A 13,283-nucleotide genomic window follows, 5' to 3' on the forward strand; every position below is an offset into this window, starting at 1 on the left:
TGAGGACCACGCGGTGCTGGGACTCCACTCCCACTGGGGAGGGCGTGAGTGAGAGGGTGAGAGAAATGAGGCTGAGCCCCAGCTCAGAGCTGGGAAGACCCCTGGGATCGCCCGGCACAGTGTGGTCAGGGTCATTTAAGGCCAGCGACATTTTAGTGATGGGCAGAGGGAAGGACACCAGGGGGCGCGTGAAAAGGAAGACTGTGAGGCGGGAGGAAGAGTGGGAGGCTCTGCCCAGGGTGGCCGAGGAGCAGGGTGCTTCCTAAAGGAAGGTGTCGAGAACGGCAAGCTCTGAGGAGGTGCTGGAACGCGGGGATCAGGTCTAACAACACGGGGCCCGCGCTTCCCTCCTCACAAGGCAGCTCAATGAAGCTGAAGGAGTGAAATCCAGCCACAGTGAGAAGGCGGGCAGGGGTGGTTGCTGGAGGAGGCCATGCCGCAGGCCTAGATGGGGAAGCAGAGTGGGGCAAGGAGCAGGGGGTTGGGAAGGGGTCAGGGTCCCTGTCACTGACCACATTGAGTGTGGCTGCACTTCCCCAGGCACAGCCGGGTGCCCTCACTCTGTGAAAAACAAACCACAAGGAGCCTGCAGCCATGAGCCCGCAACCCCTGACAACGGGAGGAAGACGCGCCACAGGGACTGGGACAGCGGCCACCGCGGTGACACCTACAGCCACGCAAGCACCTGCGTAAACACGTGCTACAGTCACATGTTACGTATTTCACACATTTACACACTACACAACGTGTGTGTGTTCACACACATGTGTATCAACACACATATGCAGGAACGACAAAGCACTTTGGCAGCCTTGACGTTATCTCTACCGAGTTCTGTCCTCTCATCATATGTCCACGGAGGTGGCATGACCTTCCCAACACCAAACGGCCAATGGGGTGACCCCGCCTGGGTCTCTCAGCTCCAGCCTGGGGCTTTCTCCTCCCTGCCAGCTCCAGGGCAGGTGGCAGGAGGAACAGCCACCACGCTGAACAAGGAAAGGACCCAGAAGTTAGGCCACATGAAGAGAGCCACAGTCCTGGAGTGAGCCTCCACGTGGCCAGCCAGCATGGGTAGTGTGTGCAGCATCTCTGGACTCATAAACAGTGCTCCTGACGCTGGACTCCACAAAGCCAAGTGCCATGAGAAGCTCCCAGATGTTTCCAGGGCTGCAGGTCAGCAGGTGCGTCCAGCACACCGGCCCTCAAGTAGAGGATGCTCCGGGACGCGTGGTGACGACCCACGGCCACGAGCACAGCCAGCCCTCCTTAGCCATGGCCCCCGCACCTGCTCCCACCTCCAAGATCCCTGCTGCCCGCTTAGTGTGGGGTGACATAGGTTCCTTATTGCATCCGCAGCTCAGGGACGGGCGCAGTGTGCTCCAAGACATAGAGGCTCAATAAATCCTGCAGTAATAACAAGAAAACGACTTTGTTTAACTTTTCGTAGATTATAAAGGATAACCATCATTCCCTATAGCTCTTATTTTCTGAGACCTCGATGTAGAAAGTGCTGGCTTAAAGTGGTGTAGAAGGTGTAAGATGTGGAGCTGGCATTTAAAGAAGAGAATTCAAAGAGCATCTTACTTTTTTGAAAGGCGTGGGGCTAAGCATCACATTTTACATGCACAGCTGAGCAATCGACTTAAGGTGTTTTAGGCTTCATCTCCTCATCTGTAAGATGGCAATACTCACAGTAATATAAAGAAACAGTGATTATGAAGAATTGGCTGGGGCAATGGCAGGCACTCAGCGACTACCAGCTTTTCTGAACAGGGGAAGGGAGGTTGAGTATACACTCCCTTCACGCTGACACAGTCCTCCAGCCTGTTAGGAACAAAACACTTCCCGCTTTCTAGTTCACTGAAGGTCAATATCATAATGGCTGTGATTACGATATGAGAAATTCTCAGGGTGAATTACAAATTCCAAACAAAACATTCCCTTTGGGTAGCCTGAGGTGTGTAATTATCATGATGACGTCTTTGGGGTTGCATTGGTAAGTGGCAGTGACTTGTTTGATTAATGGATTGAATATTTCTTTTCATGTCACTGAATAGAGGATACCTTCAATTGGTGAAATTGCCTGAGAGACAACACTTATCCATGTTACTAAACCCAAGATATATTGAATAACTTAAATCTGTATCATATCATCACCCAGTGAGTATAGTGCTATTTAAAAATTTTTTAGGATAAGCTGAGCCTTAACTTTAGGCCTATAACTTCAATTATATTTAATTTTCAAATATAATTATTGTACCAGTAATATAGATTTCTTTGGAAATTATTTTAAAAATGAAGAAAAGAAAAAATACATATAATTGTACAACTTAATGAAAAGCCTTGGTAATTTTTGGATTTGTGTGTATGTGTGTTTTCCTTTCAAGCTTTTTCTAAAAATCTTGCCTGTTTCTGTGGGAGTTAGGAGGTGGGCTATAGCTGAATATGATAAAACTTTGATGTACTGTTTTTTCCCCTAAAATTAATGATTTTTCTCCAGCTATCCCAAAAAGACATTTATAAGTATGGCCTCAATCAAAGGATTTTTCTAGCTCAAATTCTAATTCTGACTACAGCACTATTTTCTGCTGAAGTGCAATGCACAGATTTTGAAAGCCCACCCAGTGACTCAAGTAACTACAGGAATGAAACAGAATTTGTCTCTTCAGCGGTTGTTTGGGGCTGGAACGCAGAAGCACAGAGGTTGCGAGGTGCTCCTTTTTAGCTGCTGGTATTTCCTTTTGCTGCCACCCCTGTTCTGGAAGCTTCCCTTGGCACCCTACTCGCCCCACAGTGTCTGGACCCAGCTGCGTGGCCCTGTGGGCCTAACGTGCCTCTCCTCCCTCGCCTTTGTTTACAAGTCCAAAGAATGTGCCTCCCCACCCCCGAACCCTGCTGCACCCAGAAGTCTGCACCAACTCACCGCCACGAGAGTGAATGAAGGTCCCTTCCTTACCTGGGGGCTGCCCTAGCAAAGAGGAAGGGCTCAGCTACCTGTGGGAAAAGCCAGCTCCACCATGGAATTTTTGTCTCTGAAAACAGACTGAAGAACCAGACTTTTGTATTTTATCCCCTAGACTCTGCCCAGTTTTTAATGTCGCCTATCACCTCCCCATGAGCAACGCCATCAAAAAGCAAAATACAACTGCGACTACCGTCTCACACGCTTCAGCTTGCAAGGCAGAGGCACGGAACGATTTGATGAAAAAGACAGAGGAAAACAGAAAAATCACTCCTCTAACCAAGACCACAAAGGCCGCGCGGATCAATGTGCTCCAGATCAATGCGGTCCAGAGGTGAAAGCGTGGTTAGAGGAAGACAAAAAGGACAGAGAAGCCAGCTCGCGCTCCCTTCAGGATCCTACTTGGAAAATTAATTTTGTGACTCAGCTGAGGGCTGCTGCTGTCACCCAGGAGCCCTTCAGACTGCGCTCCACTTGCCAGCAAGCCTCAAAGGGACCCAGGAAGGGTGAACATTCGGCCAGAATGTGTTGAGCGTCCACAATGTTCCAGGCTTAGCCCCCGCACTGCAGCTCCCTAAGTTGCTTTGCAAAGGACTGAGTTTGGGTCACCTCATTATTTTATTTGCATATCAGGTTACCTGACAAAAGAACATATTGTTTCCCAAATTATTAAGAACTAAAGACAATACCTCCTCAAACACACACACACACACACACACACACACACACACACACACACCCTGGTGTCAGGCAGCCGGCCACCACAGAGTGTGTGCGGGGATTGCTAACCATGGCAGAGCCTGCTCTCACTGTTTGGGTGCAAACCTTGGGGGTTTTATTTTTCCACGACTGTGGAGTCTGCCTCTGTGTCCCCACATGTAAAATCGCTACCTTGGCCACCACTGCACCATAACAAGAGTGCTCACATTTCTGTCCTTCCAATACCAGGAAATCTGAGAAACAATTACTTTTTCTTTGTTCAAGTCCCACCCAATCGACAGATGATGGATCAATGCAGCTCTATAAAACAGGGCATGTGTGTTCACTTCAAAGCCATAAGAAAAGGGAAGAAAGAGGAGGAAACCCAGAGAGGGCCTCAGCGGGCAGCAGTGGCCCTGGACAAGCTCCCCCCGTTCTGGTTGAGGTTGGGTATGGACAAAAGAAAACATCCTCCCCTTGGAACTGGAACCTCCTTTGTGTCTTTTCTAAAAGTGATTTTTTTATAAAGGCAAATAAATAAAGAGTGAAATCATGATGGAGAAAGAGGACATACAATTAGCTGTGAAACTAGAGGCACCTTGCAGGACTTATTAGGCAAAATCCATGAAAGACGCTGACCGCTGTGTTAGTGCCACCCACGCTTCTGGGACCATCCTGGTGAGCGGCCCAATGTTCCTTAGCCAAGCGGCAGGGGCAGCTGCCTCTGCTTCAGAGGCTGAGTCTGTGTTAGGAGTTTCAGCAGGAGACTGGTATAACAATCTGTTGAACATCAACTTTTGTAGAGTCTTTTAAAAAATATGTACAGAGAGAGGTGAGTAGGGAGGGAGAGAGAGAGGAAAACAAAACAAAACAAAACCAGAATGATCAGCAGAGGGAGAGTTAAAGCCTTCACTTGGCAATCACTGCTGCCTTCCTACCTTTTCAGACTTCTGGGCTGCTCCCGGGTGACGCTGTGTGAGATCTGATTTGCTTTTTTCATCCTGAACCTACGGGGTTCCCGCCTATCAAATTCAAGGTGAATCTGGAAACACTGCCAGGAGTTTAACCTACTCCGGGCCTAAAGGCAGTGGAGGGGATTTTGCTGGCCCTCAGCCCACAGAGACCCTGTGGCCACATGGCTCCGGGGGTTCTCCCATGCTTTGACCCTAGGATGTGACTGGACACAGGGTCCTGGCAGAAACAGCCGCTTTCCTGGGAACACTTTCCAGTTCCAACTATGGCAACTTACGGTTAATGCCTGTGCCGGCCTGGCTGTTGATTTAGGAAGGAACGACTCTCCAAGGGCACCCACACCCTACCCTGGCCCTGAACTCTGTGCAGCACCCACCAGACCAATGGCTGTGCCATTGGCCCAATGTTCACTGCTATGACCAAGAGAGGAGAAACACCCAGTATTGGAACGCATCATCTTTATTTGGAGTGCCCAGGCTAGGTGTGGATTGGGATGATACAGATAATAATAAAACTTTTTCATTTGCCAAGAAACACAGTTCATCACACATTTGGATAAAGCCACGTCAAGTTTCGCTAAGAATCACCAATTACAGCTTGACTCTTTTTTTCTTGGACAGATTATGGAACAGACTGACAAGAGATTATGAGAAAGGAATAGAAGACGGTGTTCCTCCAACTCCAGCAGACCTTGTTTGCTGAGTTGATTTAAGTTAGGATGTAATCCAAACTGGGATTCAGGCATTTGCTTAACCCCTTAACTGAAATAGTCAGAACCAGCTTGAGATTCTGTGTGCCCACCCCTCACCTTTGCATGGCCTCCATCAACCATACAGTTCAAAACACAAGTTCCACGTCCAATAAGGAAACTTAATTCATGCAAAATGCGTTCAGACCCAGATAGTAGTACCACAAGTATGGAAAAAGTAAAACAGTGGAATTCAAATGTCAAGCATTGTGGGCAATGGAATGCAGTAGGGACCTCTCTTCCAGGATTTGGGACCACCTAAAACCAGGTGGGACTCAGCCTCTCCCATCAGGGACTTGCAGGCCCCAGCGACGGGGCTGAGAAAAGGCGGCCGCATCCTTGTGCAGTGCCCTCCCTGGGCAGCTCCGAGGGCCACCCACTGCCCAGCAAGACCCCTGTGGCAGAGCTCATGCTGTTCTCATAAGACCTTTTTAACCTTATTATATTTTTGCTTTTTAGCTTCAGGAAAGCTGCCAGAAAATCAGGAGTATTTTTGTTTCAAATGAACTACAGCGCAGTTTAACGTATCAATGTAGATGAACATAAGCTCAACCAGAAACCAACTTCCAATGACCCGTTTGGCACCTACAAGGAGCAGGCCCATCTAGCCTGCTGTGACCGCTGCAGAGGCGCGGCCCCAAGGATGATCAATCCCATGGTGTCACAACCACATGTGGCGTGACTACCGACTTACTACATTTCACCTGAGTGTTGCAGCCCAAAGCATTGAAAACAGCTATTAAACTATCTTTAAAAATGTCTTATTAATAAAGGTATTAAAACCAGATAGATGCTTGAAATAGGAGAAATCTACCTCCATCTAAAATTATCTATTTTAGTCCTAATTCCTAGAAAAGCTGTTGCTGAGCCACACGCACTAGAGTCTGGAGGCTGGTCGGCCACCAGCCTGCAAACCTCGAGGGCAGACACAGCCCCAGGCAGCTTCAGCACCCCCACGTTTGCCTCGCTGCCATGGCTCCCTTCTGCCGCTGGTAATTTCAGCTTATTTTGAAGGCACGTCGTAGTTTTAAAAGGAATATTGGACATAAAGTGATGCAGAGATTCAGAATCAAACTCAAATCATAATGCATGGCAAGATGACATCCTCAGTTTAGCACGCAAGGCAGCCCCTGCTGTACAAGGACATTACTGCACAAAGCACTCGGATTCCCCACAGGATGCCAAAAAATTCACATTTTCCTGTGGAGTGGTCCAGCCTTCTAAAAGCTCTTCGCACCTTGCCTTGCTGGACTCCGGGCACCGTGAAACAACTCAATAAATTGAAAAAGACTTCATGTTTAACTTAAAAAAAAAATGTAACTCACATAAGCATGGAAAAAAACAAACCCACAGGAACGCTTCTTACCTCTACGGATCCAGCTACCTTTGTCTTGCAGGCAGCTGAGTCACTTTTGCCCTGTGAAAATGGAAACGAAGAAAGAATTCCTTTAAGTCACAGGACGTATTTACAGTCAGCAACTTCATTAGCAAGGGCATTACTACCATACTCACCAGGCCTGTGAGCTTTTTGTTTCTAAACATTAATCTCCACATAATTTTAAGTAATTGGAGGAGTTTCTTTCGCGTTCAGGAAGCCCTTTAGTGAAAGCCTACAGAAGAAAGGAACTTGCGACTTTTGTGCAACTTTTAAAATTTAGCCAAAGGAAGTGATGGTGTCCCATCACCAACCTCAAAGCTCAACGGAAAGAAAGTCTCTTTCAAGCTCCATATGCACAGCATTTATCTTCCAAGCCACGCATCAGTGACGAGCAGGCAAATGCTTTCAGGTGACTCTAAACTCTAGTCTATGGAAGAGGCTCATTCCAGCTATTTTAATCTGTAGATTTCATCTTCATCTGTAATACGCTCGCATACACCTAGTTAAAATTCCAATCGTGCTTGGTCCAGGGCTTAAACCCGGAAGCGCGTGTGTCTAGGAGGCCTTTCTTCTTCCCAAGCCTCTTTTTGGCCAGCATGGTTTGGAGGTGACCTGAAGATTTTACTCAGCAACGTGGTTTTAGGACTGCTGAGAGCAGAGACAACGGCTACCCTTACTGCGGCACGTTCAGTGATGCAGGGGCCACATTTCCATTTCCTACTTTCTCCTTTAGCCTTTTCCTGCCACATTTCTCTTCTGTTCTCTGTTCCTTGGCTCATACCCACTGAAATATAAGAGATGAAGGAAGAAGCCAGAATTCAAATGAAATCTCCTTTGCCCCTACTGATGACTGCGGTTCAAGTGTCAGAAGACAGAGCGTTGGAATCACCATCTAAATGAAATGAGGCTAACAGGAGATGCCAGCGGCCTCTGCTGCCTCACATGGCCCTCGGTTGTCACGAGTGAGCACAGCTTTGGGGCTGGCTTCTCCCGAGTGTGCCATGAGGAAAGGGGTCCAGCGATTCTTCCCTGAGAGAAACCCCTGCACTGCGGGTGCCCATTCTCGCCTCAGCCTACACCTCCTCTGTCCTCCAACACAGCTGATGAGCGGCCGGTTTATCGAGGTGAGAATCATAGCTCTGTTTGTTTTATGTTCCCAACTGGACGGTAATTAATAACTGGCAAGAATACAGTTGCTAATGCTGACTTTACCACTTGTTTTTGCCATTTATGTACCTGTTTGTATTGTACTGGGCATGTATGGTGAGCCTATGTGGGGTTTCTACCCAGCAGCCCTTCTCCCCTCCTGGCAAGCACTCCCTTTCTTTCTATGGGACACTAGTTCCATGGAGTCCAGGTGGGAATGACCCCACCCCCCAGCCCCCCCACCACTGGGAGAAAGGCCCTAGCAGGGCTCCCTCAGAGCTGTCAGCCCCCTTGTCCTGGGATGGCCAGCCTGGCAGATGACCTAAGTCTGGGGTTTGTGCTTGCTCTGCCTTGGAAATGTGCCTGCCTGAGAATGGAGTCGAGCAAGGAGGAAGAGAAATTCAGTGTCCTGCCGACAGCTTCGGACGCTGGGATTCAGACCCACCAGAAACCATCTCTTTCAATGGTGTGAGCCAACAAATTGCCAATTTTAAGAAGGTTTGATTCTGTTTCTATAACTTGAAAAAGATGGTGAGACCCGGTGGAACATAAATGACGCTTTTACAGAAAAATACCTAATAGCATGAAAATCCCAAATGTGCCGCAATGTTGTGCCTTCGCCTATCACCTCATTCCACTCCATGACCTACTCTCAGGGCAACCAGCTTTTCAAAGGAAGTGCCCCACAGATGGCGCTACTAAGCCCGGCTGTCGGGACACACCTGAGACTGTGCATCCAGGGTATGCGGTGCTTGGGGTCCCTCATAAAAAGACACATTACTAAATTTTTCATATTGTCTTGTTTAGAATCACTGACTGTCTTTCCCTTCTCACTTCCTGGACTCTCTTCTTTGCAAACAACATTAAGAATGTTGTTAACTCCCCTGAATTAAACAGGGGAATCTGGAATGACTTGGACATTAAATGAGGATTCTCCAGCCACTCTGCAGCCACGCTATCCCTCCCACCTCCACCCCTTCTCTTCCTCCAAACTGGCCCCCACACCCATCCTCTCTACACCATGGTCAGCCTGCTGTGCGGGCTCCACGTCTGGGTCAACCCTGTGTGGGCAGAGAACAGGGGCAGCTTCCAGCTCCAGAAGGAAATCCCAGCTCCTCTACTACTCCTTTCCGATCCAGGACACGAGAGGAGAGGACTCCCCTTACGGATCCCATCTCCTCCCCTGAAGCATCTGTGACTGTGCAGGTTGGAGAAGGAGGCAGGGAAGGGGGTGAGGAGAGGGGGAAGAGGGGTCACAGGAAAGCCCAGTGTGCCCTAATGAGGGGCTTTCCATCACAGGGGAGTCAGAGCCCCCACAGGAAATCCTGACTCCTGAAGCAATCCACTTTTCTTTTCTTTCTTTTCGTTTTTTTTTGTTTTGTTTTGTTTTGTTGTTTTTGAGGTGGAGTCTCGCTGTGTCACCCAGGGTGGAGTACAGTAGTGCAGTCTTGGCTCACTGCAACCTCTGCCCCCCAGGTTCCAGTGATTCTCCTGCCTCAGCCTCGTGAGTAGCTGGGATTACAGGCGCCCACCACCACACCCAGCTAATTTTTGTGTTTTTAGCGGAGACAGGGTTTCACCATTGGCCAGGCTGGTCTGGAACTCCTGACCTCAGGTGATCTGCCTGCTTTGGCCTCCCGAAACACTGGGATTACAGGCGTGAGCCACTGCACCTGGCTGCAATCTGCTACTGTCCCCTTCCTCGTCTGTCCATCCTGTTACATACCTGTGACCACATTATCGTCAAAATACGTTTAACATGAATTTATTATCATCATGGCTAGCTCCACCAGGAAGAAAAAAAAACTACCGTTGAGATGACATAAAACGCTTTGTGCAAATGATCGTCCTCCAGGGGTATTCCGTGAAGAGGACACTTGTCATATAGCCAAGCATGCTTGCAGAAAATAAATGGACGTGGTCAGACAAATATTTTTGTGTGTTTCATTGATTTGAAATAAACTATCAGAAATTTCTAAACAAATACTCGCCAACCTTTTGGAAAAAAATATGGATTGAATCTTTTTTTTTAAGTCTAGAAAGTGACCCAGTGTTGTGGGAGAAATGTGAAAGGCAGGCACCATCGCTTTCACGGCACTTGGGGTCATAGTCTGGATGACCAAGATTCATTTGATCCTCAGGGGTCTTTTATGATTGGACTGCAAGTAAAGCTGCCAGCCAAATTTTATAACACAAAAGGTGTTCCGTGTGCTCACAGCACCCCTGCTTACCAGATGACAGAATGTCTTGAAGATTGTGCACGTTCCTCAAAAGACACATTTAGACAGTCATGGTCAGGCAGTTGATAGACTCGATATCAGCTATGAATTTCTCAGTGAAATTAGTGCATGGGATTCTAGAAAATTGGACACTTTCAAGTGGTGCTGTGGCTGGAGTGGTGCAGCCGTCTTTACCCAGCGAGCGTCCCGGCGTTGGTTATTCTGGGTCTTTGAGAATGCTGTGACTGTCCCTGCTGCTGCTGCACCCATCCCAGCACCACGTGGCTAAGCTCTCCCAAGATGCTACGGACCATGGTAGGGAGCTCAGCCTCCCAAGCAGCCAGCCAGGGTTTATTTCCTGGCACCAGAACTTAGGCAAGTCATTGGACTCCTCAGCCCCAATTTCCCTGTTTGTACAATTGAGGAAGACAGTCCCTTACACAGGGGTGGTGGGAGAAAGAAATGAGCTGGCCCATATTGGGCTCCCAGCAGACAGCAGCCATCAGTGAACATCAGCATGATGACGATGTGGGGAAAATTAAGGCGTTCCCAGATTACAGCAGCATAAAGGACCCCAAAACATCTCGCCCTTCTTTGAGAACGCTGGCATGTGTGCTTCTTGTCTGTGACCTCTGAGGAGTCGGATCCCCAGGTGCTTCAATAGCTCTGAGCTGTCCTTTATTTTGGATGAGCCCCGTCTTCCAGCTTTTAGGGTTGGGAGGGCAGAGGAGAAACGGCAGGTGGCACTGCGGATATTTTTACACAGGATAATGTGACCTGCCCAGCCTGCACCTGCGCTCAGCATCATCAGAGTTCCGTTTCTTATACTTAATTAGGCTACACAACCAATTTTACGATTTTACCATTTTGAAATCACGTGGGAGTTACCAAAATGGTTAATTTAAAACGGTTTTACCCAGACTTTGGGGGGCAGTCTTGATTCTTAAATGGCTTTGATGGCTTTGATAAACACCCTGGGCCCTTCCTCCAAAAAATACACACTCATTGAAAGCCCCCCCCACCCCCGGCCCCTTCGCACTATGCACAGCCCTCAGGAGCTCCACCTTTGGTTTTGGGGGAGTCTCTAAGTGCCCAAAAGTTTCCCTCGCAAATTTGCACGTCTACCACTAGATGGCAGCAGAGGACACAGCAAGTGAGAACACTCCGAGGCGCGTGCAGCCAATGAAATCCTGGAAACTTGTTACATTTTGTTATAACAAACAAAATATAGGCCTTGGTTTTCTTTAATCTTACTGATGTGCTCCTGGAAGAAGAAAAATGCTAATTTACACAGGGTCCACGTTGTAGGAAGGCTGAATTTGGTTTCCATGACCCCCGACTCTCCCTCCGCTGGTGCTCAGCTCTCCCCACACCTGCCAGCTTTATTTGGATTTCTGTCAGTTCTGAAGTATCAGCTACCTGAGGCTGCAGCATCAGCCAAGAAACCGTCTCTTTCAGACGCTTGCTGGCTTCAGGGCTGCAGCCCGGGGATCTTCTCTAGATAAAGCGCGGTGGAAACACACACAGACACATGACGATGCTGTCGACCCACATGCCTGAGCTCTGGGATTCCACGGCTGGAGCTCGGAACTGCGAAGGGGCAGAGACTGAGCGCAGGCAAAGGCGCACAGAGAGGACTACACAACACAAAGGATAATGTCCTCGCGATGGAGGAACCACTGTGGACAGTCAGGAAGACAGACACGCGTGGAGGGCCAGAACTGGAAGTGAGGGCGGGCATTGCTGGCTTTATCTGATCACTGGGAAGGGTGGTTGTGAAAGCCACTGAGGGTGTGTGCCTCTCCCCAGCCACAGCGGTGCTGGAGAGGAGGCTGGGGCGCTCACCACTCTTTCCTCTACCATCCGGCTCTGGGGGCCAGGTCCATGCAAAAATACGTGGAGAAAGTACAGCTTAGAGGACTTCTACTTCCAGCAAGACGCCAGGCAGAAATGACAGAGAATGATCTCGCTACACCCACTAGAAGTGGTGGATAAAACACAACAAAAAAGGAGGTTCAACGAAAAGCTGAGTTGTAAGAAGGAAGGATTAACCCACAGGCTCCAGAAATGAGGAGGACTGGAAGAGAGAGAATGGAGTCCCCGCACTGACTTTGAGACCGTCCTGGGGGCATTTTCCGTTTCTGTAATCTTCCAGGTTAGATTTCTTGTTTTTGTGTTTTAATTTTTTTTATATCGAGGTGAATTTCACACAACAAAATTGATCGTTTTAACATGAATGATGAGGTGGCGTTTAGTGCATTCACACTGACGTGTCACCAGGTAATTCCCAACATCTGCCTCTTCCACGCCCATGAAGCAGTTGCTCCCCACTCTGCCCTCCCAGTCCCTGGCAACCAGCAATCCGTGCCGTCTCTGTGGGTTCACCTGCTCTGGGCATTTGGTATAGACAGAACCGCACAGCGTGGGGTCTTCTGGGTCTGGCTTCTTTTGCTCTGCATGATGTGCTCGAGGTTCGTCCATGTTGCAGGGTGTGTCAACGCTTCCTTCCCTTTAGTGGCTACATAACATGCCATTGTTTGTTTACACCACAGTTTGTGCGTCCATTCATCCATTGATGGACATGTGGGCTGTCTCTTATCTTTTGGCGACTGTGAGTTGTGCTGCTATAAACAAGTGTGTGCGTATTTTTGTTTCAGTACCTGTTTTCAACAATCTTGGGTACATACCTAGGAGGGGGTCAGCCGCAGCCTTTCATGTGCTTCTCCGCCATTTGTAGTTCTCTTTTGGAGAAATGTCTACTTAAGCCCATCACCCATTTTTTCATTGGGCTGGTGGTCTTTTTGTTGTTCAAGCTTGGGTTTTAATATGCTGGAGATACAGGGAAGGAGGATGGGGCGGCTGTGAGGTGAAGAGCTGGACCTGAGGTTGCTGCGGGAGGCCTGAGCAGGGAGCGCAAAGCCTGGACGAAAGCCCCGACCAGCTGAGAAGAGGACGGGAGACATCGAACTTGTCCTGGGCTCAGGTTAACAATACATGGATTTTACGTCTTCTCTGATAATTAAAAATGCCAGGCCTGTGCCTTCCATGAGTTTGGGTGTGAATTCATAATGACAAGGGTGGCTCAGGGTGAAGTTTAATGTGACAGCTGGTCTGGTGCCAGGAACATGCCTAAGTCACAAACCCAGAACTCCGCTGAAG

At 48.7% G+C, this 13,283-nt stretch overlaps 1 protein-coding gene across 5 annotated transcripts in view, besides 2 other annotated features; it reads right to left on the reverse strand.

Moving 5' to 3' along the window:
* Positions 1–13,283, reverse strand: part of RPS6KA2 (ribosomal protein S6 kinase A2) — a 453,410-nt gene that overhangs the window by 354,752 nt on the left and 85,375 nt on the right. The window contains exons 1-2 of one of the 5 annotated variants that reach the window (XM_047419233.1): positions 6,894–6,996; positions 6,748–6,798 (exon numbers count right to left, since the gene is read on the reverse strand). The exons of 3 other annotated variants lie outside the window; for them this stretch is intronic. In XM_047419233.1, the coding sequence (XP_047275189.1) occupies positions 6,748–6,798; positions 6,894–6,935 (93 nt within the window). In that variant the 5' untranslated portion in view covers positions 6,936–6,996. Of the gene's footprint in view, positions 1–6,747; positions 6,799–6,893; positions 6,997–13,283 lie in introns of those variants that run through there. One more of the 5 variants, NM_001318936.2, reaches the window with a different exon arrangement.
* Positions 2,332–3,119: an enhancer, noted in NCBI's record as "H3K27ac-H3K4me1 hESC enhancer chr6:167179935-167180722 (GRCh37/hg19 assembly coordinates)". NCBI's record gives its function as "activates a minimal SCP1, AML or CMV promoter by ChIP-STARR-seq in naive H9 embryonic stem cells {active_cell/tissue: H9 hESC(naive)}" and the evidence as "EXISTENCE:reporter gene assay evidence [ECO:0000049][PMID:30033119]".
* Positions 6,658–7,857: an enhancer, noted in NCBI's record as "BRD4-independent group 4 enhancer chr6:167184261-167185460 (GRCh37/hg19 assembly coordinates)". NCBI's record gives its function as "activates an origin of replication core promoter dependent on BRD2, P300/CBP, MED14 and CDK7 cofactors, and independent of BRD4, by STARR-seq in HCT116 cells {active_cell/tissue: HCT116}" and the evidence as "EXISTENCE:reporter gene assay evidence [ECO:0000049][PMID:35650434]".

The sequence above is a fragment of the Homo sapiens genome, chromosome 6 (assembly GCF_000001405.40).
Source record: "Homo sapiens chromosome 6, GRCh38.p14 Primary Assembly".
Taxonomy (NCBI): domain Eukaryota; kingdom Metazoa; phylum Chordata; class Mammalia; order Primates; family Hominidae; genus Homo; species Homo sapiens.